Source organism: Homo sapiens, chromosome 22 (genome assembly GCF_000001405.40).
Source record: "Homo sapiens chromosome 22, GRCh38.p14 Primary Assembly".
Lineage (NCBI taxonomy): Eukaryota > Metazoa > Chordata > Mammalia > Primates > Hominidae > Homo > Homo sapiens.
Window position 1 is genome coordinate 23116343 of NC_000022.11, and position 12596 is coordinate 23128938.

At 55.8% G+C, this 12596-nt stretch overlaps 2 protein-coding genes across 9 annotated transcripts in view, besides 7 other annotated features; one reads left to right on the forward strand and one right to left on the reverse strand.

The window, feature by feature from the left end:
* Positions 1–8690, forward strand: part of GNAZ (G protein subunit alpha z) — a 54514-nt gene extending 45824 nt beyond the window's left edge. The window contains exon 3 of one of the 2 annotated variants that reach the window (NM_002073.4): positions 6745–8690. In NM_002073.4, coding sequence (NP_002064.1) covers positions 6745–7089 — 345 coding nt within the window. In that variant the 3' untranslated portion in view covers positions 7090–8690. Of the gene's footprint in view, positions 1–5849; positions 6361–6744 lie in introns of those variants that run through there. The other variant, XM_047441346.1, reaches the window with a different exon arrangement.
* Positions 1–12596, reverse strand: part of RSPH14 (radial spoke head 14 homolog) — a 121315-nt gene that overhangs the window by 56928 nt on the left and 51791 nt on the right. The gene's annotated exons all lie outside the window — the stretch shown is intronic.
* Positions 184–1101: an enhancer, noted in NCBI's record as "H3K4me1 hESC enhancer chr22:23458713-23459630 (GRCh37/hg19 assembly coordinates)". NCBI's record gives its function as "activates a minimal SCP1, AML or CMV promoter by ChIP-STARR-seq in naive H9 embryonic stem cells {active_cell/tissue: H9 hESC(naive)}" and the evidence as "EXISTENCE:reporter gene assay evidence [ECO:0000049][PMID:30033119]".
* Positions 5670–6171: an enhancer, noted in NCBI's record as "H3K4me1 hESC enhancer chr22:23464199-23464700 (GRCh37/hg19 assembly coordinates)". NCBI's record gives its function as "activates a minimal SCP1, AML or CMV promoter by ChIP-STARR-seq in naive H9 embryonic stem cells {active_cell/tissue: H9 hESC(naive)}" and the evidence as "EXISTENCE:reporter gene assay evidence [ECO:0000049][PMID:30033119]".
* Positions 9822–10699: an enhancer, noted in NCBI's record as "H3K4me1 hESC enhancer chr22:23468351-23469228 (GRCh37/hg19 assembly coordinates)". NCBI's record gives its function as "activates a minimal SCP1, AML or CMV promoter by ChIP-STARR-seq in naive H9 embryonic stem cells {active_cell/tissue: H9 hESC(naive)}" and the evidence as "EXISTENCE:reporter gene assay evidence [ECO:0000049][PMID:30033119]".
* Positions 11064–11653: an enhancer, noted in NCBI's record as "H3K4me1 hESC enhancer chr22:23469593-23470182 (GRCh37/hg19 assembly coordinates)". NCBI's record gives its function as "activates a minimal SCP1, AML or CMV promoter by ChIP-STARR-seq in naive H9 embryonic stem cells {active_cell/tissue: H9 hESC(naive)}" and the evidence as "EXISTENCE:reporter gene assay evidence [ECO:0000049][PMID:30033119]".
* Positions 11654–12241: an enhancer, noted in NCBI's record as "H3K4me1 hESC enhancer chr22:23470183-23470770 (GRCh37/hg19 assembly coordinates)". NCBI's record gives its function as "activates a minimal SCP1, AML or CMV promoter by ChIP-STARR-seq in naive H9 embryonic stem cells {active_cell/tissue: H9 hESC(naive)}" and the evidence as "EXISTENCE:reporter gene assay evidence [ECO:0000049][PMID:30033119]".
* Positions 11654–12377: a biological region, named in NCBI's record as "H3K4me1 hESC enhancer GRCh37_chr22:23470183-23470770".
* Positions 12098–12377: an enhancer, noted in NCBI's record as "active region_18745". NCBI's record gives its function as "activates an Ori minimal core promoter by ATAC-STARR-seq in GM12878 lymphoblastoid cells {active_cell/tissue: GM12878}" and the evidence as "EXISTENCE:reporter gene assay evidence [ECO:0000049][PMID:35858748]".

Sequence of the window (12596 nt, forward strand, 5' to 3'; positions counted from 1 at the left end):
GAGGGGCCCAGAAGTGCAGTGAGGGGATGACGTGGCTACGCGCCTGTGACAGGGCACCTGAGGACATTTGCAGTGCAGGAGGGAGAGCGCTTCAGAGCAGGCCAGTGTCCCTCCCACCCGGCCCAGTCCCTGGTCCCTGGGTAGTCACTGAGCTACCTCATGCAGGACCATGGTCTTAGCAGGACACCTGTGGTGGCCTGTGAGGCAGGGACAGGAAGGATGCCCCACTCTGGGCTCCTCAGGGAGCTGCAACTACAGTGCAGGATGGGCTGTGATACTCAGCACTGTGGATGTCTGTCAAGGCAGGGTGTAATGGACTGGAGGTCAGAACGTGTGAGGCCCTGGATGAGCCTCTCACCTCCCCACCCCCAGCCCAGGCGCTTGTCCCACACAGCTGCCTTGGATGTCATTAGCTGGAAAGCCGTGAGTGCCTGATGGGGAAGGAGTGGGGTGTGGGGAGGTGTTTAGGCTGTGACAAAGGGATGCTAACTCCAAAAACAGGCCCCCAGTCCAGAGGCCTCTTAAAATGCAAATATGCCGCACCTGGGAGGGGGACAGGCCCCTGGCTGAGATGAGGAAGCCTGGAGGATGCCTCTGTTCCCTCTCCCACCGCAGGCCCATGAGCTCTCAGACCAGCAGGAGGCTGATGCTGGAATATGCGCGCACCTGCTGGGGGATCTGTGCGCCTCAGCTCCAAAGTACAGGAGCTAGACTCCAGTGTCCATGTCAGGTCCCATCCAGCTGGGATGCAGGAAACCAAAGGCAGCCCTCCCATGACCCAGCACTGAGGGCCAGACCTGTTACCAGGAACGTTGGTAACTGGAAGAGCCTGGTACTTGGGGCTGTTCTGTGCCCCACAAACAGAGGGACCGGCTGTAAGGAGACTGGCCTGATGGGGAATGAGAGGGGCTGAGCCAGAGGTGCCGACACGGTATGTTTTAAGTAAGGTCCAGGTGGCTGCAGGCGGGATGGAAACACATCCACCATTCATCACATCGGCCATTGCATCTCCAGGCTAAGGGGCCACAGGAGCCTCCCAAAGAGCCAGGCTGACCTGGGCCCTGTGGCCAGCAAAGAAGTGTTGCTGGCTGAATCCCCATCTGCAGCATCGAGACCTCTCCCACTCCGTCCGGCTGAGCTGGCCCTGCATTTGGGTAGCCTTCCCTCAGCTGCCTCATGCTGGGACAGAGGGAAGCAGGTCTTCCGATGAGACCTCGCAGGTGAGAGGACGTCCCAGTGCCAAGGCGAATCACAGTGGGTGTGGCGTGGAGAGGGCCCACTGGGGTGCCAGTGGTAGCCACAGGGCAAGGCCCAGCAGCTTGGGGTTCTTCCCGTGTCAGCACCTTTGTGCCTTCTCACAACAGTCCCAGCATTGTACAGATGAGGAAACTGAGGCCCAGAGAAAGGAAATGACTTGTCCAAGGTGCAGCATGCACCGGCAGTGAGTAAACCCCAGACCCTGTGTTCATGGCCAGGGACATCTGCCCCTTTGTGTCACCAGGAGAACCTTGGTGGAGAATCAGGAGTGAGAGGCCTCACCACCCCCACAACTAACCAGGCGCAGGCTCCTCTCCACTCCCTACCTTGCCCCGGCCGCTGACCTGGGAATGTCCTTCCAGGTGCCGGACCTGGTCTGGCCAGCAGTCTGGCAGCCACGTTCAGGGGAAATACCCCAGACCCGCAGGCCAGCAAGCTGGAAGCCCCTTAGGGATGGGCTGTCAGCTCCCCTGCTGTAGTGAGAAAGCCACGGCCTGGGGCAGAGTCCCTTCCACAATGGCAAGTCTATTTGGACCTGTCTGAGCAGGAGCTCTCTTCTCACAAATGGCCAGGAAATGACTTCCACACCACCCCAGGGACTGCATCCAGCTGCCTGGTGGCTGAAGGCCTGGTTACAAATCACCTCACCATTCCCCGACGCCAAGCAGTGAGATTCCCACCATTGCACAAGCTTCTCACAGGAACTGTCTGCTCCGTGTTATTTATATAAATAAATGTGCAGACAAACCCCAGCCTCCTAGAAGGCGCCATCTTGCTGGTAAGCAGGCCCTGGAGAGAGCAGGATGGGCACTGGAGCCCTGGGCTGGCATCACAGCAGTGAATGGTGGTGTGTTTCTGCCTCCCTCTTCCCCGCCCCGCCCCACCCCCCGCGGCTGCCTTGGCAGCCATAGAGGTGAAGGCAAGGAGGGCTTCTTGCCAGAACAGGACACTGTGGCAGTTGGAAAATACCAGGCTCTCAACTGCACCCTGGGGAGTCAGCCCCTCTTGAGGCCTTGGGCCCCATATGTGAAGTGAGGAGCCCTCCCCCTTGCCATGGGGTCATGGTTGGCAGAGGCAGCTCCTCTGAATCCAGGGTCTGTCAGGCTGATGGAGGAAGTCACTGCAGGACAAGGGGGTGATGCACTACCATGGGGCAGGGCCACATGACTCCAAAGCTGCATCCAGCTCTACCCCAGTGGCCCACAGGTGGGCTGCAGCAGGACAATGTTTAACCCTGCCAGGCCAGGGAGGGCAAAACCCCATGCAGGCCAGGCCAGGCCAGGAAGGAGAACAGAGCCACATCCACCAAGGGCAGGAGGACCCAGGGGAGCCCACAAAGGCCAGATGGGTGCAGGAGGCACAGCCAGTCATGTTTTGCAGGGTGAGCAGAGCATGGACAGGTCAGAGGGCTATGAGGCCAGGCCCTGGAGGCCAGCAGAAGGCATGCTGGGGCTTCTTGCTTCCCATATGCATGCTTGAGTCACAGTTTCCAGAGCTACAGCTTCAAATAGACGGCTCTGTTTTCAGTGGTGGTGATTTGAGTGTCAGGATGCCGCTTTGCCCACCTGTCTGCACTCCAGGCTGCAAGAGTGCAGGCACCGCTGTGACACAGGCTCCCGAGGTCACCAGGCAAGCACCAGGGCCCAGGCTGGGCACTAGGTCAGAGGACAAGACTGGGCTTCTGGCCTGGCAACACCTTTCCCCACTGCCTCCTCTGCAGTTGATCTTTCAGACCCAAATATGAGGCTCTTCTCTAGGTTTGGCCTCCTCTCATCAACTTCAGCTGGTCAGGGTCCTGACTTTGTAACCGTCTGTGGTTCTTCAGCCTCCCGCTCTGTCTTGTCCCCCATCTCTGAGAGCTGCAGGCCTCTGGTCTAGGAACAAACCCACGATGCAGCTCCTGCCTCACTTGCTGGTCCATCAGCACCACACTGCCAGCACCACACTGTCCCATGCTGGGCCCTCTGACCTTCTTTATAGCCTTCCTGTTCTATAAAGATTACAGGATGGGCACCCACCATCTCCTAAGCTTCACCTCCTACTAGGGTGGAGCCCATGTGCAGTGAAGGCTCAGCCTGCGTCAGGGACGCTGGGATGGAGTGAGGCGGCAAGCTCAGGTGCTTCCCACGCTCTGAAGCTTCCTGTCTGAGCCCGGAAGTGAGGTATGTGGTTGGTGCCTCCTGCAGGCTTTCCTGACTCCTGCCAGACAGGGCCCAGCCAAGAAACAAGACCAGGAAACCAGGCGTCTACACAGAGATTTTGTTATTATTTGAGGCCCATCATCTCCTCGGTGCCCACTAAATATTAGTCAGTGTGGTTCCCATGGTTTGTCTCAAGGAATAGAGGAAACCAGGAAGCCTGAGCCTGAAATGCCTGCAAAGCAAGGGGAGTCCTGGGCACAAGCAGGGGCCTGAGCTGAGGGAAGGGCCCACACTCGGGAGATGTTTGTCTGTCCTGATGAGGCTGCCGCAGTGGCGGAATCCTGATAAGAGTGTACTGTGAGGCACCGTGCCCACCTCCAGCTGCCTTGTGAGATAAGTACCTGAGTTTCCATGACCTCTAAGTCAGGAACAGGAGGCTCAAAGAGGTGTCCAGGGTCCCCAAGGTCCACTGAGAGGCATCAGCAGGGAAGCAGTTTAGACACCATGGAAGGGGCTCCTAGTGCATTGGGACAGCTTGACTCACCCCAGGACTCACGGGGGCCACAGTCAGGAGTGTTTCATGGCGTTGGACAAGAAGAGTGGCTGCCTTGGCCTTGGAGAGAGGGGGTCCACGTGGTCTATCGGCCCCTCCCACTGCTGCCAGCTGAGCTCTCCCTACACACAGGTGCCCTGCAGAGGACCAGTCTGGTTTAGATCTGAGGCTTCAGATGACCAGTACACGTGAACTGTTTCCGCATCAGTGAGGTGGCCCTCCTGCTCCTCCTCTTACCTAAATTCCACTGCCTGCCCAGGAGGTGATGGGCTAAGCTGGGTATTAAAACCATCTCAACTGTCATCCCCAAGTGACCCATCAGGGCTCAGAGAGGCAGACCCAGGCCTAGCACCCACTCTGTGCTTGTCCCCTCACCCTTGAACCCCCAGGTCCATACCCTGCTGGTGGCCAGATCACGCCCTTCCCAACCCCGGAGGAAGCCCCCTACCCCAAAAGGACCCTGCCATCCCTGCCTGGCTCTATTCCTGCAGCCCCAGGACTCCCACCTCAAGCTCCATCACCTGGCATGAGAGCTGATGTGGACTCAGGGCGCGCTCAGCAAGTGTTTGCTCAGTAAATTAATAATACGTGCTAATGGTCATATCTGTTATTTAACTGATGCAAAATTTGGGGTCAGAAGCATAGCCCCCAATTACAGCATCATTTCTATGAGAAATGACAGCTCTGTTACCACAGTCCTCTATGATGTGGCTTCCAGGAATCCATTAGAGCTAATTACTCCCTCAGCAGAATGTGACATTCCTAGACCACCACTTATCTCACATTTGGGAATGTGCAGCCAGGTTCACTGCGGAGGCGCTGGCTCCTCTCTGCTCTGCTGGGGATGAGATCTTGTGTGTTGCTTGTCTCTGCAGAAAGGCCAGCACCCCCATCCCCAGACCTGAGGCTGCTCACTCCTCAGGACTCCTGTTATTCCGAAGCTCATTCTAAAGAAAGAGCAAGATTGGTTTGGAAAAACAGTCTTCCAGGTGGAGTGCAGGGTTCCAGGGTAATGACGGGTACCTCTGGGTATCCTTCCTTTCTCTGCACAGATGCTGCCAGAGCTGTTCCTCAGAGAACTCAGGGGCTCTGGAGAGCAGGGTTTCTATGCAGCATCCTCCTGGGCACCCCTGCCCTCAGGCAGCCTCCTTTGGGCCCACCCTGTAGGAGCAGCAAGCCAGAGCACCTGGTTGTGGGGCTTGGAGCACATATCCTGCCTCTCTGTGCCTCAGTTTCTTCATCTGTAAAACAGGAGTGGGCAGATGTGAGAACAGACTGGCAGCTCGTGTCCAGCTGTGGTTACCAGCGTCATTGTCACTGCAGTCATTGGTGATGCTGTTGCTTCGTGCCTGAGTCATCACTACCAGCTGCAGTTACCACTTGCATTACCACGGTCACTGGTGATGTAGTCTAGTCAGAAAAGTTCCTTTTTTTTTTTTTTTTTTTGAGACAGAGTCTCGCTGCGTCGCCCAGACTGGAGTGCAGTGGCATGATCTCGGCTCACTGCAACCTCCACCTCCCGGGTTCAAGTGATTCTCCTGCCCCAGCCTCCCAAGGAGCTGGGATTACAGGTGTCTGCCACCATGCCCAGCTAATTTTGTTGTTGTTGTTTTATTTTTAGTAGAGATGAAGTTTCACTGTGTTGGCCAGGCTGGTCTTGAACTCCTGACCTTGTGATCCACCTGCCTCAGCCTCCTAAAGTGCTGGGATTACAGGTGTGAGCCACGGCGCCTGGCCAGAAAAGTTCTTAAATCCAAAGCATCAGATCTAAGCCAGATTGGTTCCAGATTTTTGATATTTTGCTCATTGAGTTTATCTTAGAAGCAGGGGTAGCTTTTGCCAGCAGCAAATTCCAGGTAGTTACTCCTTTTAGAAGTTAGAATTTATTCATTTTGCAGGGAAGTGGTGAACTGGGGAGTCAGACAAGAGCATCATGCTTCTTAAAAGCCCAGACCCCTGGCTATAACACATCGAAGATTCTCAGAAGAGAATTGAGGAGCGGACAGGCGCCACACTCCGTTGTGGTCACTGCCTCTTCCTGGCCCACCACACTCCTGTCCTCTGCATGTACTGAGAGCTCTGTCCAGGATGCCAGGGTCCTGCCTCGGCAGAGAGGCGGTGCCAGATGCCCCACAGCAGCTGGTGGGAGTGCCCACAGCTGGAGGGCAGGGGAGGAGCCTGGCCTCTGGCTGGTGTTTCCTTCCCAGCTCTCAAGAACTGGAGACTTTGGTTACAGAAGTGAAGGCTGCTCCCTCACAGACTTCCTAGTGTCCGATGGTACCACATGGAAGGATCAGAGTTTTGAAGGACTGGGCCAGAACCCAGATAGGGCACAAGGCTGCCAGCGCCTGCATTGAGGGAGCTATGATGTGACGGGGGCTCCTGCAGAAGATGGCCTTCCTTGTACAGGTGTGGGGCAGCCTGTGGATGGGCAGTGGGAAGATGGGGGGTCCTCGGAGCTGGAGGTGCCCAGCGGTTTAGGAGGCTGTGCTTGGCACATCTGTAGCCCCAAAGCTATATGTTGAGATCACTGGCACCCAGAGGAGAGACCCAAAAGGGGCAAGAGAACATCTTCCAAGCACTTGCCACTGGCAAGGAGGGTGCTGCCGGCTATTTCCGTGGGAGGTGGGTGAAGACATTTAACCTGGGCTTCCCCAGCAGAAGGAGGTGCCATTGCAGGGACCAGTCTTGGGCTGAGACCCTAGCAAAGGCTTCCTCTGGCAGGGCTGCAGGTCTAGGGTCTGTCTCTGCCTGCTGCGGGCCTGATTAACGCCAGTACTTTCCTTTCCCCAGAGTCGGATGGCAGAGAGCTTGCGCCTCTTTGACTCCATCTGCAACAACAACTGGTTCATCAACACCTCACTCATCCTCTTCCTGAACAAGAAGGACCTGCTGGCAGAGAAGATCCGCCGCATCCCGCTCACCATCTGCTTTCCCGAGTACAAGGGCCAGAACACGTACGAGGAGGCCGCTGTCTACATCCAGCGGCAGTTTGAAGACCTGAACCGCAACAAGGAGACCAAGGAGATCTACTCCCACTTCACCTGCGCCACCGACACCAGTAACATCCAGTTTGTCTTCGACGCGGTGACAGACGTCATCATACAGAACAATCTCAAGTACATTGGCCTTTGCTGAGGAGCTGGGCCCGGGGCCCGCCTGCCTATGGTGAAACCCACGGGGTGTCATGCCCCAACGCGTGCTAGAGAGGCCCAATCCAGGGGCAGAAAACAGGGGGCCTAAAGAATGTCCCCCACCCCTTGGCCTCTGCCTCCTTGGCCCCACATTTCTGCAAACATAAATATTTACGGATAGATTGCTAGGTAGATAGACACACACACATGCACACACACACATCTGGAGATGGCAAAATCCTCTAAAATGTCGAGGTCTCTTGAAGACTTGAGAAGCTGTCACAAGGTCACTACAAGCCCAACCTGCCCCTTCACTTTGCCTTCCTGAGTTGGCCCCACTCCACTTGGGGGTCTGCATTGGATTGTTAGGGATAGGCAGCAGGGCTGAGGCAAGGTAGGCCAACTGCACCCCTGTCGCCTGGAGGAGGGCCAGCTCGCTGCCCGAGCTCTGGCCTAGGGACCTTGCCGCTGACCAAGAGGGAGGACCAGTGCAGGGTCTGTGCACCTTCCCTGCTGGCCTGCACACAGCTGCTCAGCACCACTTTCATTCTGGACCTGGGACCTTAGGAGCCGGGTGACAGCACTAACCAGACCTCCAGCCACTCACAGCTCTTTTTAAAAAACAGCTTCAAAATATGCAGCAAAAACCAATACAACAAAACGAGTGGCACGATTTATTTCAAACTAGGCCAGCTGGGATTCCAGCTTTTCTTCTACTAGTCTGATGTTTTATAAATCAAAACCTGGTTTTCCTTCTCTGACATTTTTTTTTTGTTTTGTTTTTTGGTTTTTTTTTTTTTTTGGCCAAATCTCGTGGTGTTTCGCAGAAAAAAATCCAGAAAATTTCAAATGCAGTTGAGTATTCTTTTTTAAATGCAGATTTTCAAAACATATTTTTTTTCAGGTGGTCTTTTTTGTGTCTGGCTTGCTGAGTGTAAAAGTTGTTATCTGGACGATCTGTCTCTCTGCTCCAAAGAAATTTTGGAGTGAGTGGCAGTCCTGCGCCAGCCTCGCGGGACACGTGTTGTACATAAGCCTCTGCAGTGTCCTCTTGTTAATGGTGGGGTTTTCTGCTTTGTTTTTATTTAAGAAAATAAACACGACATATTTAAAGAAGGTTCTTTCACCTGGGAGCAAATGAACAATAGCTAAGTGTCTTGGTATTTAAAGAGTAAATTATTTGTGGCTTTGCTGAGTGAAGGAAGGGGAGCAAGGGGTGGTGCCCCTGGTCCCAGCATGCCCCGCGCCTGAGACTGGCTGGAAATGCTCTGACTCCTGTGAAGGCACAGCCAGCGTTGTGGCCTGAGGGAGGCCCTGCTGGGACCCTGATCTGGGCCTTCCTGTCCCAGGGCCTATGGGCAACTGCGTTGAAAGGACGTTCGCCAAGGGCCGTGTGTAAATACGAACTGCGCCATGGAGAGGAGAGGCACTGCCGGAGCCCTTGCCAGATCTCCCTCCCTCTCTCCGTGCAGTAGCTGTGTGTCCGAGGTCAGTGTGCGGAATCACAGCCAAGGACGTGAAGAGATGTACGGGGGAAAGAGAAGCTGGGGATTGGATGAAAGTCAAAGGTTGTCTACTTTAAGAAAATAAAATACCCTGAATGGAGCCCAGCATTGTCCCAGTGTGCTATGTGTGTAGCTGACCTGTGGCTGGACTTGGTGCCATCTGGAAGGGCAGCCGGGGACACCTCCATTCTGAGGTCCCATATTCCAAACCCCACCCCTATACCTCCACACATTTAGGTAGAGTCATTTTGCAATGAACATCACAAATAAACATCACGAGAGGAAAGAAACTGCAAAGAGGGGAAACCTGCCAGGTCCATGCAGTCCTGGTGTGGAGGTCTGGGGGTGATGATGACTCCTGCCCCTCCCGCTGCCCCCAAGACCCCACCCAACACTGACCCAGGCTGTGCCATACCCTGGACCCCTCCCACCATGTGGACACCTCAGCCAATGTCAGAGTCATCCTGCAGAGTGGAAGAGGTGCCCTGAGGGCCTGGAGGGTTCCTGTGCCCCCAGTAGTGTAGGGCAAACCTTGTAGGGTTTTGGAGAGGAGGGGTCCCTGAGCATGCAGTGCTCGCTGACTGGCTTGTGTGGTTAGAGGTATCTGGATATAGTGGAAAAGTGCCGATCAGAAGTCAACGGAGTGCATTCACCGAGGGCCTGCTGCGAACCAGGCACGGAGCCGGGCTCCTTACTAATGATTTTATGTAACACCCCACCTCAGCAGGTTGCCAGAGGTGCCCATTTTACAGATGAGGAAAGGTGCCTGAGGTCAGGGAGCAGTCAAGCCAGGATTCACCAGGCCAGGGAGCTGTTGCTCCCACTGGAGGAGCAGAGACGCTGATCTTTCCTCCTGCTGGAGTCCTTGCCTGGCTTGGCACCTGCACAGGATGGAAGCCTACAGGGAGCAGCACAGAACCACCCTGCAGCCTCCTCCTCAAAGCAGGACCTCAAGCAAAGTGGGGGGTCGGCAGGCACACACACGCATGCATGCACACAAGCACATGCACACACGCGCAGATACGCACGCAGCCCTGGTGCTGTCACCGCCCCATCCCTACTCCTAAGCCCACGCAGGGACTCCCTTCACACCTTCCTACGTCACCAAACAGCCAGAACCCAGAGGGGCTTTTGTTTCTGAAGAAATAACGTGTGACTTAAAATCGTTGAGACTTATTTTGTGCTTTTAATGCCAACTGTGAAAAGAGCAGTAATTTCGCCGTGAGCATCTTTAATCTAAAAATACATGGCTAAAGGGAGAAAGGGATTGAGCCTCCCTTCCTAATGTGTGCAAAGATCAGAGGAGGCCTTCCCTGGAGGGAGGTTTCTCCCGGTTCCCAGAACCTAGCCAGGAGTCTCCAGTTCCCCCATAGGCTGCAGAGAAACCTCAGGCGCTGTCGACCTCTCTGGCCCCGTCCTCCCCTGCAGTTCACCTGCACTGGTTCTCCTCCTGAGCCTGCCTTGTTCCGCTCTTGCCCCCAATGATCCCTTTGCCTAGCATGTCCTTCCCCATCCTCACAGCTCAAAGTCACCTGGGCAGCTTCTTGGAAGTCTCCTCCTTCCCTGCATTCCATCTGTCAGGGCTCCAGGGTCGAGTGGGAAGGGGTGTTGGAAACTCCATTGAGCAGCTCAAGGCCAGCGCCTCTGACCCACCTCATTCCTCCAAACAATGCCCCATGGAGAAGGCGCATGCTGAGCTGGGATGGTCCAGGAGTCTTAGCCAACGGGAGGTAAGCACCAGGACTCACCAAGGTTGCTGGTGAGAGGAGGCTAGAGTAGGTGGCAGGGTGCCTGAAGGGGAGGACCTGGGGATGGCTGGGCCAGCCCTGCCCACTGCAGGTGACTAATCCCGCCTTGTCCTACTTCACGCAGCCCCAGCCTCCTTTCCCAGGACCCACCATCATGTGGCTCCCTGTGGGATATTGCCATCCTCACCTATAGCCCACGTGGTCACCCTGGTGGTGCAATGGGTCAACAACAGTGGTCACGATAATCCCAGCTCTCCTCAGTGACTGCTCACTGGGGGGCACACTCATGGGAGGCCAAGATGCTTGATTCCATTCTACAGAAGTGGAAGCAGAGACCAGGAGAGGCGATGACTTATCAGCATCACACAATGTGACCCCACCAGGCCAGGACCTGAGGGGCTTTACTCTGTCCACATTCCCCAGATCCCCACAGTGGCAACAGGCCCTGGCACCCTACTTCCAACGTCAGCCCTCCAGAACAAATGGTCCATCTGGCTCAGGGGACAGTGCCAGGAAGGGCTGCACTGCACCATGAGGACTTGAGGCAACACTGAGGCTGGACCTCACCCTGGATGAGCTCACCTCACCCAGATGAGCCTGACGAGATGGGGATGCCTGACAGGCCGGGAACCAAGAGGCCAGAGTGTCCCTATCAGTGACCATCATTCCTGCTAAGTCCAGGAATGGGGTACAACTACCCACCAAAGACTGTCAGGCTGAGGATGTGCCTGGGGTTCTGGTGCACCCTGCCCTGAGGGCAGGCAAGACAGAAAAGGGCCTGCTCCTCTAGGGCAGCTGGCCTCCACCCCTCACCCTGTGGCATCAAGGGGAGGAGGAGGAGGAGGCTGCTCTGGGTCCATCGAAGGAAGCTGGGTGTCCACGGGTGGCTGCTGAAGAGGGACAGGGTGCAGTGGTGGCCCACCCAAGGCCACTAGCCTGGAATGAGACATACGGCTCACTGCAGTGGGAGCACCTACTTTGCTTCTCCAGCAGCCCACGTACCTGGGGTTCAGATGACATTGGGTGCATTCTGGGTGGTATAGCTGTAGACCCCCAGATTTCTCCCTAGCTTAGATGCTATGACTCCAGGGATGTCCCCTGAACCCCCAAATGACTTGGATCAAACTGCATCCAGACATTTCACCCGCGGCACCCTCCCCTTCCCAAGCCCAGTTCTCCTTTCCAAGGTCACGGAGCCAATTTCCAGAGGCAGGGCCCAGGCGCATCCTTGCTGCCTCCCTCCTCCTCTCGGGCTGGTGCTCTCCTCCGGGCTGGGAGGGTCATCCATCTCCACCCCCGGGCTGCACACGTGTGGAGTCAGGGTCAGAACAGGCCCCATCATGCTGCTGCTAAAGCTGGGCTGGGGTCTCAGAGCCTGGCACAAGGAGAGGGAGACTGGAGGCAGGGCCAGAACAGACTCACAGGTGTGCCCAGTCAGGACCAGTGGGATGGTAGAGGGATACTTCCGGGGGACCCTGAGCTGTTCAACTGCACCCCAAAATCTGGTTAGAGAAGAATTGTCAATTTCAGCCACAGAACTCTCTCTCCCACAAAAATGAAACCTGTTTTCTCATGGGGTTCTACTCCATTCCTGGACTTAGCAGGAATGATGGTCACCGATAGGGACACTCTGGCCTCTTGGTTCCTGGCCTGCCAGGCCTCCCCCTCTCATCGGGCTGGGGAGCAGAAGCAGACCCTGTGCATCACTCAGGGCCCAGCTGGCAGGGAGCCTGGGCTGGCAGCCTGTGTGTGACATCTGTCTCTACAATCCTATTTTCTCCTCTCCTGACACGGCACCACCACGGCGCATGAGTAGCCAGCCTGGAAGGAACTTAGAGGAATGCGTGTGGGTGAGCGCAGCAGCTTGGGCCCAGGGCCCCTGCAGGGCCAGGGCCCACTTGGGACAATCCTCAGTCCTGGGGTGCCCCCTCCTGGTTACTCTGGGAAATCATGCAAGTCAGACTTGGCCAGAGCAAGGATTCTGAAACCACTCTCCCAGACACCCATGACACAGGGGAAGAAACTGAGGCACGGTGGCCAGAACAAAACAGGGGCCCAACACATACTGTCAAATGAATGAAGGAATGAGCAAGCAGGTAAGTGAACTGTAGCAAGAAGACAACCAGCAATTGATCCTTTAAAGTATGACATAAAACCTACTAAACAGCCAATATTTGTTGAGCGCTAGCCACATGCCAGGCGCCCTGCCAGGTGCAGAGGGTGCCATGGTGAAAACGGCCTTCCAGTGTGGCCACTGA